At 36.8% G+C, this 25,345-nt stretch overlaps 1 long non-coding RNA gene across 1 annotated transcript in view, besides 1 other annotated feature; it reads right to left on the reverse strand.

The window, feature by feature from the left end:
* PARAIL (palmitic acid regulated anti-inflammatory lncRNA) overlaps positions 1 to 25,345 on the reverse strand; it is a 40,313-nt gene that overhangs the window by 13,706 nt on the left and 1,262 nt on the right. The gene's annotated exons all lie outside the window — the stretch shown is intronic.
* Positions 6,073 to 6,662: an enhancer, noted in NCBI's record as "OCT4-NANOG-H3K27ac hESC enhancer chr8:90749405-90749994 (GRCh37/hg19 assembly coordinates)". NCBI's record gives its function as "activates a minimal SCP1, AML or CMV promoter by ChIP-STARR-seq in naive H9 embryonic stem cells {active_cell/tissue: H9 hESC(naive)}" and the evidence as "EXISTENCE:reporter gene assay evidence [ECO:0000049][PMID:30033119]".

Below are 25,345 nucleotides of genomic sequence, written 5' to 3' on the forward strand. Positions count from 1 at the left end.
AGAGCATTGATAAAAAAAGATAGAAAGTAATAAAAAGTACCGAACAAAAGTTATAGACTGAAGAATACTATAACTGAACCCTAACTAAAAAATTCAGCAGAGGGGTTGAGTAGCAGACTAATCAAGCAGAAGGAAAGATCAATGAACTTGAAGACAGATCACCAGAAATCATTCACTCTCAGGAACAAAAAGAAAAAATAATGAAAAAGAGTAAAGATAGGTTACATAAGGTCAGGCGCAGTGGCTTATGCCTGTAATCCCAGCACTTTGGGAAGTCGAAGTGGGCAGATCACCTGAGGTCAGGAGTTTGAGACCAGCTACAACATGATGCAACCCCATCTCTACTAAAATACAAAATTATCCAGGCACTGTGGTAGGCGCCTGTAATCCCAGCTACTCGGGAGGCTGAGACAGGAGAATTGCTTGAATCCGGGAGACGGAGCGAGATCACACCATTGCATTCCAGCCTGGGCTACAGAGCAGGACTCTGTCCCAAAAAAAAAAAAAAAAAAAAAAAAAAGATAGGTTACATATTATCAGTGTACAAGAAGGAGACTAGAGAAGGAAAGAAACCGAAAACATATTCAAAGAAATCGTAGCAGAAAAATTCCCAAGACTGGAGAAGAAAAGAGAAAGCCAGATCCAGGAAGCACAAAATACACCAAATAAGATGAATCAAAAGAGACCCACACCAAGCTATATCGTAATCAAATTGTTGAAAGCTAAAAGCAAATGCAGTGTTAAAAGCAGCAAGGGAAAAGTGAACATCATTTATAAGGGAACCACCATGCAACTATCAATGGATTTCTCAGCAGAAACCTTGCAGGCCAGAAGAGTATAGAATGATAGATGCAAAATCCAGAAAGAAAAAACACTGCCAGTCAAGTATATTATACCAAGCAATCCTATTTTTCAAAATGAAGAGGTGATAAATACTTTCTCAGACAAAAAAAGATGAGAGAGTTTATCACCACTAGACTTGTGTTAAAATGTCAAGGGAGTTCTTCAAGCTGAAGAGGACACTAGTTAGTAATACGAAAACATATGAAAGTATAAAACCCGGTAATAAAAACAACTACACTGTCAAAACCAAAACACTGCCACTGTTATGGCAGTGGGTAAATCCATTATATCTCTAGTATAAAGGTTAAAAGACAAAGCTATTAAAAACAACTAAAGCTGCAGTAATTTGTTGAGGAATACAAATTATAAAAAGATGAAAGTGAGACATCAAAAACATAAAATGTGAGAGGAAGGGGAGTAAAAGTTTAAAGTTTTATATGTGATCAAAATTTAGTTGTTTCCAAGATAAATACCACATTATAAGATGATTTATGTAAGCCTCAGGATAATCACAAAGCAAAAGCCTATATTTGATATACAAAAGATAAAAAGAAAAGATCCAAAGCATACTACAGCAGAAAGCCATCAGGCCACAAAGGAAGAAAGCAACAGAGAAAAGCAGAAACAAAGGATTTACAAAACAACCAGAAAATGATTAACAAAATGGCACTAGTAAGTCTTCACCTACCGATAATTACTTTGAATGTAAATGGACTAAATTTTTCAATCAAAATGCACAGAGCAAATGTCTGCACTAAAAAAATAAGACCCAACTGTATGCCGTCTACAATTCACATCATCTTAAAGGATACTCATAGAATGAAAATGAAGAGAGGGAAAAATATATTTCATTCAAATAGAAAACAAAAGACAGCAGGGGTAGGTATACTTATTTCAGAAAAAAATAGACTTTAAGTCAAAACTGTAAAAAGAGACAAGGTCATTATACTGTGGTAAAGGGTTTAATTCATTAAAAGGAGCAAACAATTGTAAATATATATATGTAAATATATACATAAATGTGTGTGTGTGTGTGCACCCAATAGCAGAGCATCTAAATATATAAGGCAGGCCGGGCATGGTGGCTCATGACTATAATCCCAGCACTTTTGGAGGCCAAGGCAGGAGGATTACTTGAGCCCAGGAGTTCAAGACCAGGATGGGCAACATAGGGAGAGCCCAACTCTACAAAAAATTTAAAAATTAGCCAGGTATGGTAGTGTACACCTGTGGTCCCAGCTGTTTGCTTGGGCCTGGGAGGTCAGGGCTGCAGTGAGCTGTGATTGTGCCACTGCATTCCAGTCTGGGCAACAGGGCAAAATCCTGCCAAAAAATAAAAAAAGATGGAGAAATAAAGCAAACATTAAGAGATCTGAAAGGAAACACACTGCAACACAATAATAGGATATTTCAATACCCCACTTACAACAAAAGACAGATCACCCAGAAATAAAATCAATAAGGAAACACTGGATTTGAACTATACTTTAGACCAAATGGGCATAATAGACATGTACTTGACATGCCACCCAACAGCAATGGAATACACATTCTTCTCAAGTGGATGCAGAATATTCTCCCAGATATATCATGTGTTAAGCCACAAAGAAAACTTAACAAATTTAAAAGTATCAAAATCATATCAAGTATTTTTTCCAACCAAAATGGCATAAAACTAGAAGTAAATAACAGGAGAAATCAGGAAAATTGCCAGCTGTATGGAAAGTAAACAATATGCTCCTGAACAACTATTTGGTCAAAGAAATTAAAAGGGAAATTTTAAAATGGAAACACTAAGTCAAAAATGGAAACACAACATGCCAAAATTTATGGTGGTAGCAAAAGCAGTTCTAAGAGCGAATTTCATAGCAGTAAATCCCTACCTCAAAAAAATGGAAAACTGCAAATAAACAAACTAATATTCCACCCCAAGAACTAGTAAAAGAATAACAAACTAAGCCCAAAGTTAGAAGAAGAAAAAAATAAGAAAGATCAGGGCAAAAGTAAATAAAATCGAGACTAGAAAAGTTATACAAAAGATGAATGAAACTAAGAGGTTTTTTTCTGAAAAGGTAAACAAAATTGACAAACCATTAGCTAGACTAAGAAAAAAAGGGAGAAGACTCAACCAAAACTCATTTCAAAAATGAAAGAGGAGACATTGCAACTTATTACACAAAAACAGAAAGCATCATAAGAGACTAATATAAACAATCATATACAAACAAATTCGACAACATACAAAAAATTAATAAATTCCTTGAAACAAATAGCCTACTGTATTAGTCCGTTTTCACGCTGCTGATAAAAGACATACCCGAGACTGGGCAATTTACAAAAGAAAGAGAAGTTTAATGGACTTACAGTTCCACGTGGCTGAGGAGGCCTCACAATCATGGCAGAAGGCAAGGAGCAAGTCCCGTCTTACATGGATGGCAGCAGGCAAAGAGAGAGAGAGCTTGTGCAGGGGAACTCCCCTTTTAAAAACCATTAGATCTCATGAGACTTATTCACTATCATGAGAACAGTGCAGAAAAGACCTGCCCCCATAATTCAATCTCCTCCCACCAGGTTCCTCCCACAACATATGCGAATTGTGGGAGTTACAATTCAAGATGAGATTTGGGTGGGGACACAACCAAACCATATCACCTAGCAAGACAGAATCATAAAGAAATCAGAAATCTGAACAGACCAATAATGAGCAAAGAGATTGAATTAGTAGTCAAAAATGTCCCATCAAGGAAAAGCCCAGACCCAAATGGCTTCATGGTTGAATGCTACCAAACATTTAAAGAACTAATATCAATCCTTCTCAAACTCTAACAAAAAATTGAAGAAAAGAGAATACTTCCAAACTCATTTTACAAGGCCAGCATTACCCTGATACCAAAGCCAAAGTCACTATCAGAAAAGTACAGGCCAACATCACTGATGAACATAGATGCAAAAATTATCACCAAAATACTATCAAACTCTATTCAACTGTACATTAAAGGATCATTCACCATGATCAAATGGGACTTATCTCTGGGATGTGAAGATGATCAACATTCACAAATCAATAAATGTGATTCACTATATTGGCAGAATGAAGGACAAAAAACATATGATCATCTCAATAGGTGCACAAAAGCATTTGACAAAATTAAACCTCCTCTCACAACAAAAACTCTCAACAAATTAGGTATAGAAGGAATGTTCCTCAACACAACAAAGTCCATATATGAGAAGCACACACCTAACATATTCAACGGTGAAAACATGATGACTTCAACATATTCAATGGTGAAAACATGATGACTTTTCCTCTAGGATAAGGAATAATACAAGGATGCACACTCTTACCACCTCTGTGCAACATAATATTGGAAGTCCTACCAGAGCAATTAGGCAAGAAAAATAAATAAAAGGCATTCAATTAGGAAAGGAAAAAGTGAAACTGTCTCTGCTTGCTGACAACATGATCCTATATATAAAAAAAAAACTATAAAGACTCCACCAAAGAACTGTTAGAAGTGATAAATAAATTCAGTAAAGTTGCAAGATAAAAAATCAATTTACAAAAATCAGAAGTATGTCTGTACATTAACAATGTGCTGTTTGAAAAAGAAATTAAGAAAGCAGTCCCACTTACAATCATATCCAAAAAGTACAGAGGAGTAAATTTTATCAGGGGTCAAAGGTCTGTACACTGAAGGATCATCATGGTGGACAGGAAGCAGGACTAGATTGCAGCTCTGGACAGAGCAGCATGTAGGCTCACATTGTGAATTTAAGCTCCAGATCAACTGCAAGAACAAACTACCAATCCCGAGAGGACCCACAGAACCTCTGAAGGAAGCAGACTGCTCCTGCAGAACCTGGGAGGCACACCAAATACTGTGAGTGCCCCAACTGCAGAAGTGGGAAAGGGAGACCCTCCTCTCCCAAACACACACCTGCACTGGAGAAACAGCAGGTCTGTTTGCGGGAGAAGTTTCCAATCTTATCTGGAGCTTAGTCAATTTAGAGAGCTGAGCAAATACAGGGGTAGAGGACGCAGCAGAAAGGCTCTGGGAGCACACTGGGTCCCCAAGCAGCCCATTCCTACCTGGCACCACAAGGATCCATCAGGAGGACAGCCAGAGGAGCAGGGGGTAAAACTACACAGGGAGAAGGACATCTCTTGTTGAAATTTGTAACAATTTGAATGGGGCGAGAAGCCTCCTGGCCAGACCTCAAGGGAGGGTGCAAATCCAGTGTGCAGACTCCACAGGCTGATAAGAACCAAGCTCTTTTCTTTCTCAGCTGGGAGGCAGGTAGCCTGGGGCAAGTTTTCAAGCCCATCTTGCCCACAGCCTGGAAACATACTCAGAGCTGTTTTGTAATGCCCAACCTTGTTTTTTCCTTATTCACCTGGCCTTGTTTCTCCCTTAGCTAAGAGAACCAGACAAACTCCATCTTGGCACTTTCACTGGCAGTGCCTTCCTCAAGGACTTAACTTGTGCAAGCTGACTCCCAGAACATCCAAGAATGCAATTAACTGATAAGATACTGTGGCAAGCTATATCCGCAGTGACCAAGAATTCATCTGACTGATAACGGCCAAAGCCCCCCATCTATCACCTTGTAATAGTCTTAAAGCCCCTGCACCTGGAATTGTTTACTTTCCTGTAACCATTTGTCCTTTTAACTTTTTTGAGTACTTAACTTCTGTAAAATTGTTTTAACTAGACCCCCCCCTCCCCTTCTTAAACCAAGATATAAAAGTTAAGCCCCTTCCTCGGGGCCGAGAGAATTTTGAGCGTTAGCCATCTCTCGGTCGCCGGCTAATAAAGGACTCTTAATTCATCTCAAAGTGTGGCATTTTTCTAACTCGCTCGGGCACAACAGTTTTGGGGGCCATGGTGGAAGTAAGACTGGCCCTTCAGTTTGCATGGCAGCTGGGTGAGGCCTGTGACTGCCAGCTTTCCCCCACTTCCCTGACAACATGCGTGACTCAGCAGAGGTAGCCATAATCTTCCTAGGCACACAACTCTAGTGACCTGGGAATCCCACCCCCATCCCCTACAGCAGCCACAGCAAGACCTGCCCATAGAGAGTCTGAACTCAGACACACCTAGCCCTGCCCCAACCTGATGGTCCTCCTCTACCCACCCTGGTAGCTAAAGACAAAGGTCATATAATCTTGGGAGTTCTATGGCCCTGCCCACTGCCAGTTCCTCTCCATACTACCACAGCTGATGCCCTCTGGAAAGTGCCACCTCCCAGCAGGAGGCCAACCAGCACAAAAATAGAGCATTAAACCACCAAAGCTGAGAACCCTCACAGAGTCCACTGCATCTTCCTACCACCACCTCCACCAGAACAGGAGCTGAGAGACCCATAGTCGGTTCACATCACAGGACTCTCTGCAGACAACACCCAGTACCAGCCCAGAGCTGAGTAGACTCACTGGGTGGCTAGACCTGGAAGAGAGACAACAATCACAGCAGTTCAGCTCACAGGAAGCCACATTCATAGGAAAAGGGGGAGAGTACTACATCAAAGGAACACCCTGTGGAACAAAAGAATCTGAATAACAGCATTCAGCCCTAGACCTTCCCTCTGACAGCCTACCTAAATAAGAAGGAACCAGAAAACCAACCCTGGTAATATGACAAAACAAGGCTCTTTATCACCCCCAAAAAATCACACTAGTTCACCAGCAATGGATTCAAACCAAGAAGAAATCCCTGACTTACCTGAAAAAGAATTCAGGATATTAGTTATTAAGCTAATCAGGGAGGCACCAGAGAAAGGTGACGCTCAATGCAGGGAAATCAAAAAATGATACCAGAGGTGAAGGGAGAAATATTCAACAAAATAGATAGCTTAAAGAAAAAACAATCAAAAATTCAGGAAACTTTGGAAACACTTTTAGAAATGCAAAATACTCTGGAAAGTCTCAGCAATAGAATTGAACAAGTAGAAGAAAGAAATTCAGAGCTCAAAGACAAGGTCTTGAAATTAACCCAATCCAACAAATACTAAGGAAAAAAAAAAAGAAAATATGAGCAAAGCCTCCATGGAGTCTGGAATTACGTAAAACAACCAAACCTAAGACTAATCAGTGTTCCTGAGGAAGAAGAGAATTCTAAAAGCTTGGAAAAGATATTTGGGGGAATAATCAAGGAGAACTTCCCCAGCCTTGTTAGACACCTAGACATCCAAATACAAGAAGCATAAAGAACACCTGGGAAATTCATTGCAAAAAGATCATTGCCTAGGCACATTGTCATCAGGTTATCAAAAGTTAAGACAAAGGAAAAAATCTCAAGAGCTGTGAGATGGAGCACTAGGTAACCAATAAAGAAAAACCTATCAGATTAACAGCATATAACCCAGCAGAAACTCTACAAGCTAGAAGGGTTTCTTCAGCCTCCTCAGACAAAGCAATTATCAGCCAAGAAGTTTTTGTCCAGTGAAACTAAGCATCATATATGAACAAAAGATACAGTCATTTTCAGACAAACAAATGCTGAGAGAACTTGCCATTACCAAGCTACCCACAACAAGAACTACTAAAAGAAGCTCTAAATCTTGAAACAAATCCTGGAAACACATTGATACAGAACCTCTTTAAAGCATAAATCACACAGGACTTATAAAACAAAAATATAAGTTAAGAAGCAAAAACAATAAACAAAAAAACCTAATTACACAAGCAACAAAGAGCACAATGAATGCAATGGTACCTCACACTTCAATAGTAACATTGAACATGAATGGCCTAAATATTCCACTTAAAAGATACAGAACCACAGAACAGATGGACTCACCAACCAAATATCTGCTCCCTTCAGGACACTCACCTAACACATAAGAACTCACATAAACTTAAAGTAAAGGGGTGGAAAAAGGTATTTCATGAAAATGGATACCAAAAGTGAGCAGGCGTAACTACTGTTATATCAGACAAAACAAACTTTAAAACAACAGCAGTTGAAAGAGACAAAGAAGGACATTATATAATGGTAAAAGGCTTTGTCCAACAGGAAAATATCACAATCCTAAACATATATGCACCTAACACTGGAGATTCCAAATTTATGAAACAATTACTAACAGACCTAAGAAATGAGATAGACAGCAACACAATAATAGTGGGCAACTTCACTATTCCACTGACAGCACTAGACAGGACATCAAGACAGAAAGTCAACAAAGAAACAATGGATTTAAACTATACCTTGGACCAAATGAACGTTGACAGATATATACAGACCATTTCATCCAACAACCACAGAATATACGTTCTATTCAACAGCACATGGAACTTTCTCCAAGAGAGACCATGTGATAGACCATAAAACGAGCCTCGATAAATTCAAGAAAATTGAAATTATATGAAGCACTTTCCCAGACCACAGTGGAATAAAACTGGAAATCAACTCCAAAAGGAACCTTCAAAACCCATGCAAATACATGGAAATTAAATAACTTGCTCCTGAATGAGCATTAGGTTAAAAACAAAATCAAGATGGAAATTTAAAAATTCTTCGAACTGAATGACAATAATGACGCAACCTACCAAAACCTCTGGAATACAGCAAAGGCAATGCTAGGAGGAAATTTCATAGCCCTAAACACCTACATCAAAAAGGCAGAAAGAACACAAACTGACATTCTAAGGTCACACCACAAGGAACTAGAGAAACAAGAACAAACCAAACCCGAACCCCACAGAAGAAAGGAAATAACCAAGATCAGAGCAGAACTAAAGGAAATTGAAACAAACAAACAAAAATACAAAAAATAAATGAAACAAAAAGCTGGTTCTTTGAAAAGATAAATAAAATGGATAGACTATTAGCAAGAGTAACCAAGAAGAGAGAAAATCCAAATAACTTCACTAAGAAATGAAACAGGAGATATTACAACTGACATCACTGAAATACAGAAGATCATTCAAGGCTACTGTGAACACCTTTATGCACATAAACTAGAAAGCCTAGAAGAGATGGATAAATTCCTGGAAAAAAATACAACCTTCCTAGCTTAAATCAGGAAGACTTAGATACCCTGAACAGACCAATAACAAGCAGTGAGATTGAAATGGTAATTTAAAACTTACCAACAAAAAAAAAGTCCAGGACCAGACGGATTCACATCAGAATTCTACCAGACATTCAAAGAATTGGTACCAATCCTTTTGACACTATTCCACAAGATAGAGAAAGAAGGAACCCTCCCTAATTCATTCTATGAAGCCAGCATCACCCTAATACCAAAACCAGGGAAGCAGATAACTAAAAAAGAAAACTACAGACCAATAACCTTGATGAACATAGATGCTAAAATCCTTAACAAAATACTCTCTAACTGAATCCAACAACATATCAAAAAGATAATCCACCATGACCAAGTGGGTTTCATAACAGGGACGCAGGGATGTACACAAGTCAATAAATGTGATACACCACATAAACAGAATTAAAAACAAAAAGCACATGATCATCTCAATAGATGTAGAAAAAGCATTCAACAAAATCCATTATGCTTTATGATTAAAACTCTCAGTAAAATCGGCATAAAAGGGACATACCTTAATGTAATAAAAGCCATCTATGACAAACTGACAGGCAACATAATACTGAATGGGGAAAAGTTGAAAGCATTCCCTCTGAGAACTGGAAGAAGGCAAGGATGCCCACACTCACCACTCCTCTTCAACACAGTACTGGGAGTCCTACCCAGAACAATCAGGAAAGATAAAGAAATGAAGGGCATCCAAATTGGTAAAGACAAAGTCAGACTGTCACCATTTGCTGACAGTATGATCCTTTACCTTGAAAACCCTAAGGACTCCTCCAGAAAGCTCCTAGAACTGATAATTCAGCAAAGTTTCCAGATACAAGATTAATGTACACAAATCAGTAGCTCTTCTGTACACCAACAGCGACCAAGCAGAGAACCAAATCAAGAATTCAACCACTTTTACAATAGCAGCAAAAAAAAAAATAAAATACTTAGGAATATACCTAACAAAGGAGTTGAACAACCTCTACAAGGAAAACTATAAAATGCTGCTGAAAGAAATCATAGACAACAGAAACAAATGGAAACACATCCCATGCTCATGGATGGGTAGAATCAATATTGTGAAAATGACCATACTGCCAAAAGCACTCTACAAATTCAAGGAACTCTCCATCAAAATATCACCATCATTCTTCACAGAAGAAAAGAAAACAATTCTAAAATTCATATGGAACCAAAAAAGAGCCCACACAGTCAAAGCGAGGCTAAGCAAAAAGAACAAATCTGGAGGCATCACATTATCTGATTTCAACCTATACTATAAGTCCATAGTCATCAAAACAGCATGGTACTGGTATAAAAATAGGCACATAGAACAATGGAACAGAATAGAGAACACAGAAATAAACCCAACTACTTACAGCCAACTGATATTCAACAAAGCAAACAAAAACATAAAGTGGGGAAAGGGGCCAGTCACAGTGCTTCATGCCTGTAATCCTAGCACTTTGGGTGGTCGAGGTGGGTGGATCACCTGAGGTCAGGAGTTTGAGACCAGCCTGGCCAACATGGTGAAACCCCATCTCTACTAAAAATGCAAAAATTAGCCGGGCATGGTAGCAGGCACCTATAATCTCAGCTACTCAGGAGGCTGAGGCAGGGGAATTGCTGGAACACAGGAGGCAGAGGTTGCAGTGAGCCGAGATCACGCCATTGCACTCCAGCCCAGGCGACAACAGCGAGACTCCGTCTTCAAAAAAAAAAAAACAAAAAACAAAAAACAAATGGGGAAAGGATACCCTTTTCAACAATTGGTGCTAGGATAATTGGCTAACCACATGTAGGAGAATGAAATTGGATCCTCATCTCACACCTTATACAAAAATCAACTCAAGACAGATTAAGGACTTAAACCTAAAACCTGAAATTATAAAAATTCTAGAAGATAACATTGGAAAAATCCTTCTAAACATTGTCTTAGGCAAGGATTTCATGACCAAGAACCCCCAAAAAATGCAATAAAAACAAAGATAAATAGCTGGGACCTAACTAAACTAAAGAGCTTTTGCATAGCAAAAGGAACAGTCAGCAGAGTAAACAGGCAACCCACAGAGTGGGAGAAAATCTTCACAATCTATACATCTGACAAAGGACTATATCCTGAATCTACAACGAACTCAAACAAATCAGTAAGAAAACAAGTAAGAAAAAAACAAACAATCCCATCAAAAAGTGGGCTAAGAACACGAATAGATAATTCTCAAAAGAAGATATACAAATGGCCAACAAACGTAAGAAACAATGCTCAACATCACTAATGATCAGGGAAATGCAAAGCAAAACCACAATGCGATACCACCTTACTCCTGCAAGAATGGCCATAATCAAAAAATCAAAAAACAGTAGATGTTGGCATGGATGCAGTGATCTGGGAACACTTCTATGCTCCTGGTAGGAATGTAAACTAACACAGCCACTATGGAAAACAGTGTGGAGACTCCTTAAAGAACTAAAAATAGAACTACCATTTGATCTAGCAATCCCACTACTGGGTATCTACCCAGAGGAAAAGAAGTCATTATTACAAAAAGATACTTGCACATGCACGTTTATAGCAGCACGATTTACAATTGAAAAATTGTGGAACCAATCCAAATGCCCATCAATCGACGAGTGGATAAAGAAATTGTGAAATATATATACATGAATACTACTCAGCCATAAGAAAAGGGATGAGTTAACAGCATTTGCAGTGACCTGGATGAGATCGGAAACTGTTATTCTAAGTGAAGTAACTCAGAAATGAAAAACCAAACATCGTATGTTCTCACTGATATGTGGGAACTAAGCTATGAGGACGCAAAGGCATAAGAATGATACAATGGACTTTGGGGACTTGGGGGCAATTGTGGGAGGGGGTGAGGGATAAAAGACTGCAAGTATGGTGCAGTGTATACTGTTCTGCTTATGGGTACACCAAAATCTCACAAATCACCACTAAAGAATGTACTCATGTAACTAAATACCACTTGTATCCCAATAACTAATGGGAAAAAAAAGTTTTAAAAAATCTGTACACTGAAAACTATAAAACATTGGTAAGAGAAATTGAAGAGGACAAAAATAAATGGAACAGTGTCCTGTGTTCATGGATTGGAAAAATTAATATTGTCAAAATATCCATACTACATAAAGCAATTTACAGACTCAATGCAACCCCTATCAAAATTCCAATACTATTTTTCACAGAGATAGAAAAAACAACCATAAAAGTCATGTGGAACCACAAGACCCTGAATAGACAAAGCAATCTTGAGGAAAAGGAGCAAAGCTGGAGGCATTACATTACTGAATTTTAAAATATATTACAAACTATAATAATTAAAACAGCATGTTACTCATAACAGATACATCAAACAACAGAATAAGATAGACAGCCCAAAAGTACACCCAAATATCGATGTTCAATTAACTTCCAAAAAAGATGCACGATGTAGAAAGGACAGTCTTCTTTAAATGGTATCAGGAGAACTGGATATCAATATACAGAAAAATAAAAATGGACTCTTTTTCACCAGTTATAGAAGAATCAACTCAAAATTAATTAAATTCTTAAATTTAGGACTTGAAACTATAAAACAACTAGTAAAAACAGGGGAAAAGCTCCATGACGTTGGAATGGGCAGAGATTTCTTGCATATGACCCCAAAAGCACAGGCAATGAAAGCAAAAATAGACAAATGAGATCACATCAAATTAAAAAGCTTCTGCACAGCAGAGGAAACAACTAACAGTAAAGAGACAACCCATACATTGACAGATATTTGCAAATCATATGTTAGATAAGGGGCCAATATCCAAAACATACAAGGAACTCAACTACTCGGTAACAAGAAAACAAATAATCCCAAACTTCTACCTGGACATCCAGGCATTTCTATATATCTTCTGAAATCTAGGCAGAGGTTCCCAAACCTCAATTCTTGACTCCTATGCACCCACAAGTTCAACACCATGTGGAAGTTGCCAAGGCTTGGGGATTCCACCCTCTGAAGCCATGGCCAGAGCTGTACCTTGGCCCCCTTTAGCCATGGCTGGAACAGCTGGGATCCAGGGCACCAAGTCTCGAGACTGCACACAGAAGTGGGGTGCTGGACCCGGCCCAGGAAACCATTTTCCCTCCTAGGCCTCTGAGCCTGTGATGAGAGGGGCTGCCACAGAAGTCTCGGACATGCCCTCGAGACGTTTTCCCCATTTGTTGGTGATTAGCATTGGGCTCCTCATTACTTATGCCAACTTCTGCTACCAGCTTGAATTTCTCCTCAGAAAATCAGTTTTTGTTTTCTACTACATCTTCAGGCTGCAAGTTTTTCAAACTTTTATGCTCTGCTTCCTCTTGAACACTTTGCTGCTTAGAAATTTCTTCCACCAGATATCCTAAATCATCTCTCTCAAGTTCAAAGTTCCACAGATCTCTAGGGCAGGGGCAAAATGCCACCAGTCTCTTTGCATAGCAAGGGTGACCTTTACTCCAGTTCCCAACAAGTTCCTCATCTCCATCTGAGACCATCTCAGCTTGGACTTTATTGTCCATATCACTATCAGCATTTTGGTCAAAGCCATCCAACAGGTCTCTAGGAAGTACCAAACTTTCCCATCTTCTTCTGAGCCCTCCAAACTGTTCCAACCTCTGTCTATTACCTAGTTCCAATGTCACATCTACATTTTTACAGCAGCACCTCACTCTGTCAGTACCAATTGACTGTATTAGTCCATTCTTGCACTGCTATAAGGACATATCTGAGACTGGTTAATTGATGAAGGAAAGAGGTTTAATTGACTCACAGTTCCACAGGGCTTGGGAGGCCTCAGGAAACTCACAATCATTCGCAAAAGGGGACGCAAACACATGCTTCTTCACATGGCAGCAGCAAAATGTGCAGAGCAAAGGTGGGAAAGCCCCTTATAAAACCATCAAATCTTGTGAGAACTCACTCACTATCGGGAAAACAGCATAAAGATAACTGCCCCCATGATTAAATTAACTCCCACTGGGTCCCTCCCGTGACTGGTGGGAATTATGGGAAGTACAATTCAAGATGAGATTTGGGTGGGGGACACAGCCAAACTGTATCAGGCAATATGGTCATTTTAATTATAGTAACTTTCTGATCTATAGGCATGAGATGTTTTTACATTTGTTTGTGTCATCAAAAATTTATTTCATCAGCCTGTTGTAGTTTTCCTTGTAGAGATCTTTCACTTCTTTGGTCAAATATATTCCTAGGTATTTTGTATTTTTCATAGTTATTGTAACTGAAATTGCCTTTTTTATTTGGTTCTCACCTTGATCATATAAGGGTATAGAAGTCATACTGATTTTTGTACATTTCTTTTCTATCCTGAAATTTTACTGAATTCATTTATCAAATCTAAGCGTTTTTTATCGAATCTTGAGGGTTTTCTAGATATGAGGTCATATTATCAACAGAGATATATTGACTTTCTCTTTTCCAATTTGGATGCCTTTTATTTCTTTACTTTGCTTAATTGCACTGGCTAAGACTTACAGTATTATGCTGAATATGAGTGGCGAAAAGTGGGAATCCCTGTCTTGTTTCTAGTTCTTAAAGGGAATGCTTTCACATTTTCCTCATTCAGTATGATATTGGCTATTGGTTTGGCACACATGGCTTTTATTATTTTGAGGTATGTTCCTTCTATGCCTAATTGGTTGAGGCTTTTTATCATGAAGTGTGGATGAATTTTTTCAAATGCCTTTTCTGCATCTATTGAGGTGATCATATGTTTTTTCCTTAATTATGTTTATGTGATGAAGCCCATTAATTGGTTCACATATGGTAAACCATCCTTGTATATGTGGTATAAAACCCACTTGATGATGCTGTACTATCTTTTTGATGTGCTGTTTGATCTGGCTTGCTAGTACACTGCCTAGGATTTTTGCATGTATGTTAATCAGGGATGTTTATCTGTAGTTTTCTCTTTTTCTTGTGTCCTTATATGTTTTTGGTATCAGCATGATACTGGCTTCATAGAATGAGTTAGGAAGAATTCTCACCTCCTCAATTATTGTAAACTGCTACCACTGCAGATGGGTCTTACCTGCAAGTGTCACCTACTTACTGGCCTAGAGGGTGGAGTGCACAGTCCATTACAGCATTTGCTTACACAACTATAGAGCACTTGGGAACAAGATAAGCTTCTTACAATCATTGCCTATACCACCCTGGCTACTCAGGAGGTTGCTGCTACTAAAACTGGCATTTGAGAAAGCCACCGCACTAAGACTATTTATGTCCAAGGAAACAATACTGTCTTTAGCACTGAACACACCTAGAAGAAAAGCCAAAAGACGCTACCCAACATATACTACAGTTACATTCTAAAAAAAAGAAAAGGCCTGCCCCAATAAAAGTAAATGTAAAAATACGAAGTGGCAACTATATCTCCAGATGCACAGAAATCAGCAAAATAGTACAGGAAGCATTAAAAGGCAAGGAATTATGACACCCCCAAATGAGTACAGTAATTTTCTGTTAATGAATCCAAACCAAAAATAAATCAGAGTGCCAGGTAAAGCATTTAGAATATTGGTTTTAAAGAAGCTCAATGAGATCCAAGAGAGTTCTGAAAACTAACACAATGAAATCAGAAAATCAATTCAGGATATAAACAAGAAATTTACTGAGAAGATAAACATCTTAAAAAATAACAGAACTTCCGGAAATGAAAAATTCATTGAAGAAAATACAGAATAAATTTGAAGGCATTAAAAGTAGACTGGACTAAGCAGAAGAATGAATCTCAGAACTTGAACACAAGTCTTTTGCATTAAGCCAGACAAAAACAAAAAGGACAAAAAAGAATGCACAAGCCCTTTGAGATATATGAGACCACATAAATCAATCACACTTGTATTCCTGAGGAAGAAGAAAAAGTAAAAAGTTGAGAAAACCTATATAAGGGAATAATTGACAAAACTTCCCTAGTCTAGCAAGAGATTTAGACGTTCAGATATCAAAAGCCCCAGTGATTGTCAAGAAAATCAATTGCAGAACAGACTTCATGCCATATAATCAGACTGTGAAAAGGCACCATGAAAGAAATAATTATAAAATCAGAAAGAGAAAAGCATCTAGTCACCTATAAAGGAATCCCCATCAGACTAATAGACTTATCAGCAGAAACCTTAAAACCCAAAAGAGAATGAGATGCTATTTTCAAAGAGCTAAAAGAAAATGTCAGCCAAGAATTTTATATCCTGTCAGAATAAACTTTATAAATGGAGAAGAAATAAAGCCTTTTACAGGCAAGCAAACACTGAGGGAATTTGTCACCACTAGCCAGCCAAACAAGAATTGCTCAAAGGAGTCCTAAACATGGAAATGAAAGTATAAAACTCACAGACTTTATAAAACAATCACACAAGGGAGCAGGAGAAAGGAATCAAATAGCAACACAACAGAACTCCACCAAACCAGAAAGACAAACAGAGAAAAAGATAGAAACAAAGAATTTATAAAAGAACTAGATAACAGTTAACAATATGACAGAAACAAAACCTCACATATCAATATTAACCTTGAGTGTAAATGGAATAAATACTCCATTTAAAAGATTTAGATTGGCAGGATGGATTAAAAACATGATTTAATTATATGCTGCTTACAAGAAACTCACCTTACCCATAAAGACAAATATAGACTGAAAGTAAAGGGATGGAAAAAGATATTCCATACCAAAAGAAACCAAAAGTAAGCAGGAATAAGTATATTTAAATCAGACAAAATAGACATCAGATCAAAAACAGTAAAAAAAACAAGTCAAAGAAGGCCAGTATATAGTGATAAAGTGATCAGTTCAGGAAGAGAATGTAACAATCATGTAGATAGATAGATATAAATCATATATATACATATATAAATATATATCTCAATCCTTGAGCAACCAAATTCATAAAATAATTACTGTTAGGTCTAAGGAAAGATATGGACAGCAATACAATAATAGTGGGAGATTTCAACACCCCACTCACAGCACTAGACAGATCATCTGGACAGAAAATCAACAAAGAAACATTAGACTTAAACTATACTCTAGAACAACCGGACTCACCAAACATACAGAACATTCTACTGAACAACTGCAGAATATACATACTTCTCATCAGCACATCGAACATTCTCCAAGATAGACCATATGTTAGGCCACAGTACAAGTCTCAATAAATTTTAAAAAATTGGAATCATATCAAGTATCTTCTCAAATCACAGCAGAATAAAACTACAAATCGGCCGGGCGCAGTGGCTCACGCCTGTAATCCCAGCACTTTGGGAGGCCGAGGCGGGTGGATCATGAGGTCAGGAGATCGAGACCATCCTGGCTAACAAGGTGAAACCCCGTCTCTACTAAAAATACAAAAAATTAGGCGGGCGCCTGTAGTCCCAGCTACTCGGGAGGCTGAGGCAGGAGAATGGCGTGAACCCGGGAAGCGGAGCTTGCAGTGAGCCGAGATTGCGCCACTGCAGTCCGCAGTCCGGCCTGGGCAACAGAGCGAGACTCCGTCTCAAAAAGAAAAAAAAAAAAAAAAAAACTACAAATCAATACCAGGTGGAACTTTGTAAACTATACAAATACATGGAAATTAAACAACGTGCTCCTGATGAATCTTTGGGTCAATGATGAAATGAAGATGGAAATTATAAGTGAATGAAAATGGAAGCAAAACACATGAAAACTCTGGGATATAGCAAAGGCAGTGCTAAGAGTAAAGTTTACAGTGTTAAATGCCTGTATAATAAAAAAAGAAAGATCACAAATTAATAGCCTAACATCACATCTCAAGGTGTTGATTATATATAAAACAACAAACCAAGCCCAAAGTTAGCAGAAGAAAAAAAGAAAGATTATAGCAGAACTAAAAGAAACAGAGACACAAACAGAAACAATAGGAAGGGTCAATGAAACAAAAGGGCTTTTCTTTTTTGTTTTGTTTTGTTTTGTTTTGTTTTTGGAGACCAGGTCTCATTCTGTCACCCAGGCTTGTGTGCAGTGGTGCAGTTATGGCTTACTATGTCCTTGAACTCCTAGACTCAAGCAATCTTCCCACTTCAGCCTCCTGAGTACCTGGGACTATAGGCACAAACCACCATGCTCAACAAATTTGTAAAAAATTAAAAAAAAATGTTTTTCAGAGATTGGACCTTACTATATTACCCAGACTGGTCCTGAACTCCTCTGGTCTTGACCTCCCAAAGTGATAGGTTTACAGGTGTGCGTGATTGCACCCAGCCAAAATACTGCTTTTGAAAAGATAAACTGTTTACAATAATTGAGGAGGTGAGAATTCTTCCTAACTCATTCTATGAAGCCAGTATCATGCTGATACCAAAAACATATAAGGACACAAGAAAAAGAGAAAACTACAGATAAACATCCCTGATTAACATACATACAAAAATCCTAGGCACTGTACTAGCAAGCCAGATCAAACAGCACATCAAAAAGATAGTACAGCATCATCAAGTGGGTTTTATACCACATATACAAGGATCATTTACCATATGTGAACCAATTAATGGGCTTCATCACATAAACATAATTAAGGAAAAAAACATGATCACCTCAATAGATGCAGAAAAGGCATTTGAAAAAATTCATCCACACTTCATGATAAAAAGCCTCAACCAATTAGGCATAGAAGGAATATACCTCAAAATAATAAAAGCCATGTATGCCAAACCAACAGCCAGTATCATACTGAATGAGGAAAATATGAAAGCATTCTCTTTAAGAACTAGAAACAAGACAGGGATTCCCACTTTCGCCACTCATATTCAGCATAATACTGTAAGTCTTAGCCAGTGCAATTAAGCAAGGTAAAGAAAATAAAAGGCATCCAAATTGGAAAAGAGAAAGTCAATATATCTCTGTTGATGATATGACCTCATATCTAGAAAACCCTCAAGATTCGATAAAAAAAAAGCTTAGATTTGATAAATGAATTCAGTAAAATTTCAGGATAGAAAAGAAATGTACAAAAATCAGTATCACTTCTATACCCTTATAATGATCAAGGTGAGAACCAAATAAAAAAAGGCAATTTCAGTTACAATAACTATGAAAAAATACATTCCCTCTCACTTGGCTGTGGCATGGCACTGGGACCACCCCTCCATCCCTGTGCTGGGACCTTGGGGCAGCAGCATTGCACCACTCCTCACCTGGGCATTTCTCCAGGGACCTGGGGACTGCCCTCTGATCCCCATTGGGGCTGGAAGCCACCATTGAAGGAACTGAGTGCAAGCTTTACTGGTCCAGCTCTGCCCAGCTGTGCATCCCTCTCCCTCAGACAGTATGGTATCCAGACCACTGAGCATTTCATGGACCAATCAATCATCTGGGACACCTAAGCACTTCTCTGGGATAATGAAGGTTGAGCATAAACTGTACTCAACAGGTGAATGGTTAAAACACTGTGATACACTATACAATGGATACTATTTAGCAATAAAAAAAGAACCAAATACTAATTCTAAGCAACAATTTGGATGAATCTCAAGGTCATTATGCTGAGTGAACAAAGCCAATCTCAAAATATCACATACTTTATGATTCCATTAATGTAATAGAGTAGAAATAGATTAGTGATTAATAGGGATTAAGGATGGTGGGAGAGTTAGGGGGTGAGTGTGAAAGTAAAGAGTATAAATGAAATCTTTTTTGTGGTGGGATAGTTCTGGATCTTGACTGGGGTGGTGATAAAGGAATCTACACATGTGATAAAATGACACAGAACAATATATATATATTGGATGAATGCTATATTACTGGTTTTTATATTGTATTACAATTCTGTAAGATATAACCACTGGCGGGAACTGAATGAAGGATACATGAGACCTCTCTGTATTATCCTCGCAACATCCTATAAATTTATAATTATCCTAAAAAGTATTTTTAAATTGTAGCTGAGTATATTAGATTCCTGGGGCTGCCATAACAAAACTACACAGAATGGTTTAAACAACAGAAATCTATTGTCTGGAAGCTAGAAGTCCAAAATCAAAGCACCAGCAGAGTTGGTTCCTTCTGATGACTATGAGGGAGAATCCATTCCATTCTTCTCATTTAGCTTCTGGTAGTCTAGTCTGTTCAATAGCTTGCAGATAGTGTTCTCCCTATGTCTTCACAGTATCTTCCCTCTATGCATGCTTGTCATGATGTACAAATTTCCCCTCATTATAAAGACACTGTCAGGATTAGGTCCCATCCTAATAACCTTATCCTAATTTGATCAGCTGTAAAGATTCTATTTCAAAATATGGTTGGTCACGGTCATCGGTATTGAGGGTTAGGACTTCAACATCTTTTTGGGAAACATGGTTCAAACAATAACACTGGGTCTAAAAGAATCAATTGTACAAGAGGGAAAACCTGTTTTAAAGGCACTTCATTAAGAGAAAAGGATGAAGAAAGAAGAGGAAGGGGGTGAGAGGGAGGGGGAGGAGGAGAAGAAGGAAAAAAAGGAGGAGAAGGAAACGGAGAAAAGAAAGAAAGAAAGAAAAAAGAAAAGAAAGAGAAAAAGAGAGAGAAAGAGAGAGAGAAGGAAAGACAAGAAAGAAAGAAAAAAAAAGAAAGAAAGAAAGAAAAGAAAAGAAAAGAGAAAAGAAAAGAAAAGAAAAGAATTTAGGCCCAACCTAAATGAATAGTTTAGCAGGGCCGTCTTCCATTGCGTGAATAGATTCAGATCAAAGACAGGTATAGCCACAATCCCTCTCATCTGTCAGATTTCACACAAAATTTTCTAATCTATTTGGAGGCGGGGATATTGATGAATATAGGACAACCACAGAGACTAAAAACCAAGTTGAAGTAAAAGAAGACTAAAGATGACATATCTATCTTCCAAGTATTTATCTTTTAAATCCCTCATACCGCCTTAAAAGGGGTAGACCCTTTGTTTCAATTGTCTAGGTAGGAGAGTTAGACTTAATACAACAAAAGCCAGTAATATTGAGACCAGAAGAACCTCCTAAAATTTAGAATGTTAGAGAATTTTAACAAAAGAAATCTGTAACCAATGGAAAGGGCTTGCTCAAAATGTAGTGATTTCCCTTTTGCCAGGGAATGTTCAAAAGAACTGGTCAACTCTTCATTAGATATTCTTGAATTAGGTGGGAGATTGTACTAGCTCAGTGTCTCCAACTGTTTTGTTTTGTTTTTACTTTTCAGCACTTTCAAAGAAATATATATTAACTTCACCTTCTTAGAATTTTTTTTAAAAATTTCACCTTTTTTCCAAATGGTAAGATTCAAATGTAACTTTAAATTGACAAATATTTGAGAAAAGTGTTATTAGTAAATATCATATTAAAAGGTTGATTTCCATGTAATGTTTGCTAATAATTCAAAAGAAAAAAACATCATTTCGCCAATCAATTTAAATATGACATGTTCAATTTTAGGATTGAATACAGATGGCTAAATGAGAAACATGATTTTACTAGTTAGCTGCAAAAAGTATATTTTTCTATCTCCTCATAATAATAGACTCTATCATCAGATACATCATGTATTAAAAGTTTTGGGGGTGAAGGTATCAAATGTACCCTAAACATTAGTTTTCCCATGCAGTACAGTTATTATTATGCAATTATAGACACTTCCCCAGGATTTGTGTCTTTAAAACTTATTAGGTGCTTTTAGACCAAAAATTAGAAAAGTTTACAATATGAAATGTTTGAAATTCTTAAATTTGTAGTTTTTTAGGTAGTTTATTTTCCATTTCTTGTCTCGTGTCTAATTGAAGAGATATGCAATTTCAAGGTTCAATTTCCTAAAATAATACATACAGGTATAAATAACCCTTATCTCACGGAAAAACAAATATTGATGTAATTTTATAGAATTTTGAACAGATGAAATCAACATATAGATGTGATTCTTGTTTTTTAAGCCTACTTTGCGTAAATATTCTAATATTTTCTTTCTTGTTTAGTTGATGTATTTCAGCATCGATATCCCTTAAACTTTCTATCTTTAGCCAATTAATTGTGGGAATTGAACTATATGTATATGAAGAAATATATAATTTAATTAATTCCCATATATGACTAATAATATATGTTTTTAAAACTGTATACTGGTAAAACCTATCATGAAAGCTAAAGGTTTAAGGTGGTGATTAAAAAATATTTAGAAGGCTTGTGATAAAAAGAATCTTAGCATTTACATGAATTTAGAAGCACCGAACACTTCAGGAATCAGCAGACCAACAACGTACTATCCATCTTTAAAAGGAAGGAAAGTAAGTGTGTGGAGAAATAGCTATTTTCATCATCTACAGGAAAAGAAAATTAGTATAACTTCAATGAAGAACAATTCAATGACATCAACCAAAGTTACAAACCAACATACTCTGATCCTGCAATTTGGCTTCTGGAATACGTAGATATATATGTATGAAATAACATAAGCAAAAATTAACTATTGCAGCATTATCTGTAATAGCATATGTGTGAAAACAAAGTAAATGCCTATCAATGGGGGATAAATTATGGTATATCCATCAGCGTCTAGAAAATAAAAAAGATAAGAGAGCTTTTTATGCATTCATATGGAAAGATATCCAAGATACATTAAGTGAAAAGTAAGCAAAGTAGACGAGTATATAGTGTTATAATAATTACATAAAAGGGACAGATATTTTATATATATATTTTATATATAATTTATATATAATTAAATGTAAACATGCACACATAGTATATATATATATTAATATATAAATATATATTTATATATACATATTTATATATATTTAAAATATATATTTATATATTTAAAATATATATATTTATATATTTAAAATATATATTTAAAATAAATATATATATTTAAAATATATATTTAAAATAAATATATATATTTTAAATATATTTATATATTTTAAATATATAAATATAAACAGAAGTAATATAATATATAAATCTATATTTATATATGCATATACAATATATGCCTATATATATGTGCATGTTTATTTTATATTTAAACCAATTAACTTTTTATTGAAGTACTATATTCAGAAAAGTGAATGTGAGTGTAATCTCCAAGAATTTTCATAAACTGAACACACCCATGCAACTGGCACCTACAGCCTAGGTCCTGAATCAAAAAATAGAACATTACCATCATCCTAAATACCTCATGATTCCCTTCTAATCAATGCCTCTCCCCTACTAGAGAGAAGATTTCTATAAGCATAAGTTAGTTTTATTTATTTTTGTACTTTATACAAATGGACTCATGCAATATGTACTCTTCTGTATCTGGCTTTTTTCATCCAACATTATATTTGTACACTGTTTAATTTCATTCCCATTTAGTATTATATTGCATAAATGTGCCAAAATGTATTTATCTATTCTACTATTTATGGATATCTGGGTAATTTCCAGTTTGAGGCTATTATAAACACCACTGCTATGAACATTCTAGTAGATGCATACACATGTCCACATACCGAAGCAAGGAATTACTGGGTCATAGGATCTGCATATCTACAATTTTAATAGATACTGACATACAATTTACAAAATTGATTGAACCAATCAACACTCCCATGAGCAGTGTACAAGAGCTCCTGTTGCTCCAAATCCTCACTCACACTTGGTATATTCTGTCTTTTTAATTTTATTCATTCTACTGTTTGGATAGTAGTGTTGCAATGTGAATAAAATTTGTGATTCCCTGATAATTAATGATGTTGAGAACCTTTTCACCTCTTTTTCAAGGTATCTAAGTCCTCTTCTCAATTTTTCTATTGCATTATGAGTCCTTATTGTTTTAAATTTTAAACCATGTGATATGGTTTTAAAAAGTAAATTTAAAAGTAATGTAATTAACAATACAAATAAATTCCATGAAGTTCTATGCTTCATGCTCTCTCCTTCTTAGAGATGCATATTAGCATTTCAAAAGTTCTGAAAAGTTCTACATTTTTCACCACCACAAAACAGTTTAGAGAAATGTTGTCTCCCTTCTGATGTAATTTTCATGGAATTAACAATTGTCTCCTTTTTTTACTTGTATTTTTTTTTACAATTCATTCTCCAATTTTATCCCATAGTTCATTAGATCTATCAAACATCTATCAATATAATTTCTCAAATACTCAAAATTAGATAATCTATCATTTCAATTACTGTAACTACTGTTTTCTCTTGAAGTCTGCCATCTCCCTGTTCAGTGAAAATGGGTTGCTCTCCAATTCTGCCATATTTCTCTCATCCTGGAGTTTCCCTTCTTAATTTCCTGGTCCGGTTTTCTGGATCTCATGTCTTTCTTTTTCTTGGGCTACTCCCATGTTTTGCTGAACACATTCTCTAGGAGCTTTCTTTAAAAAAAAAAAATGACATGGAAAGAAAGTATTTCATTCTTGTATATGTGAAAATGTTTTTATTCTGCCCTTACATTTGACGGAAAGTTTGACTATAGAATTCTAAGTTGGAAGTTACTGTCCTTCAGAATATTGGAAAAATTTCACTTCATTATATTTCAGGATAACAATGACTTAGTAACATTGTTAAGAAATTCAATGCCATTCTAATTCCCATCTCTTTAATTTTTGTTTCCGCCCTCTGAAAACGTTTAGAATCTTCCCTTTAGTGTTAGTGTTCTCACCCTTTTAATGATGTATGTGCCTTAATGTAGGTCTTTTTACTTGGTGGGCCCTTTAAATATGAAGACTCCTGCCCTAGCAAAAATTTTTAAATTATTATTTTGATCATTTCTTCCCTGTTTATTTTTTGTTCTCTTTTTCTAGGACTCAGGTTTTTAATTAATTGACTGGATAAACATGTCAGGCCTCTGAGCCCAAGCTAAGCCATCATATACCCTGTGACCTGCACGTATACATCCAGATGGCCTGAAGCCACTGAAGAACCACAAAAGTGAAAATAGCCAGTTCCTACCTTAACTGATGACATTCCACGATTGCGATTTGTTCCTGCCCTTCCCTAACTGATCAATGGACCTTGTGACACTCCTTCTCCTGGACAATGAGTCTCAGGAGCTCCCCACTGAGCACCTTGTGACCCCCACCCCTGCCCGCAAGAGAAAAACCCCCTTTAACTGTAATTTTCCACTACCTACCCAAATCCTATAAAGACTGCCTCACCCCTATCTCCCTTTGCTGACTCCTTTTTCGAACTAAGTCGGCCTACACCCACATGATTAAAAGCTTTATTGCTCACCCAAAGCCTGTTTGGTGGTCTCTTCACACTGACGCGCGTTAACAGAATGAATGGATAGAAAAGTCTTCTGAGTACTTTTTAAGAAAAAAGCTTATTGGCCGGGCGCGGTGGCTCACGCCTGTAATCCCAGCACTTTGGGAGGACAAGGTGGGCGGATCACGAGGTCAGGAGTTCGAGACCAGCTTGGCCAACACGGTGAAACCCCGTCTCTACTA

Source organism: Homo sapiens, chromosome 8, assembly GCF_000001405.40.
Source record: "Homo sapiens chromosome 8, GRCh38.p14 Primary Assembly".
Classification (NCBI taxonomy): Eukaryota; Metazoa; Chordata; class Mammalia; order Primates; family Hominidae; genus Homo; species Homo sapiens.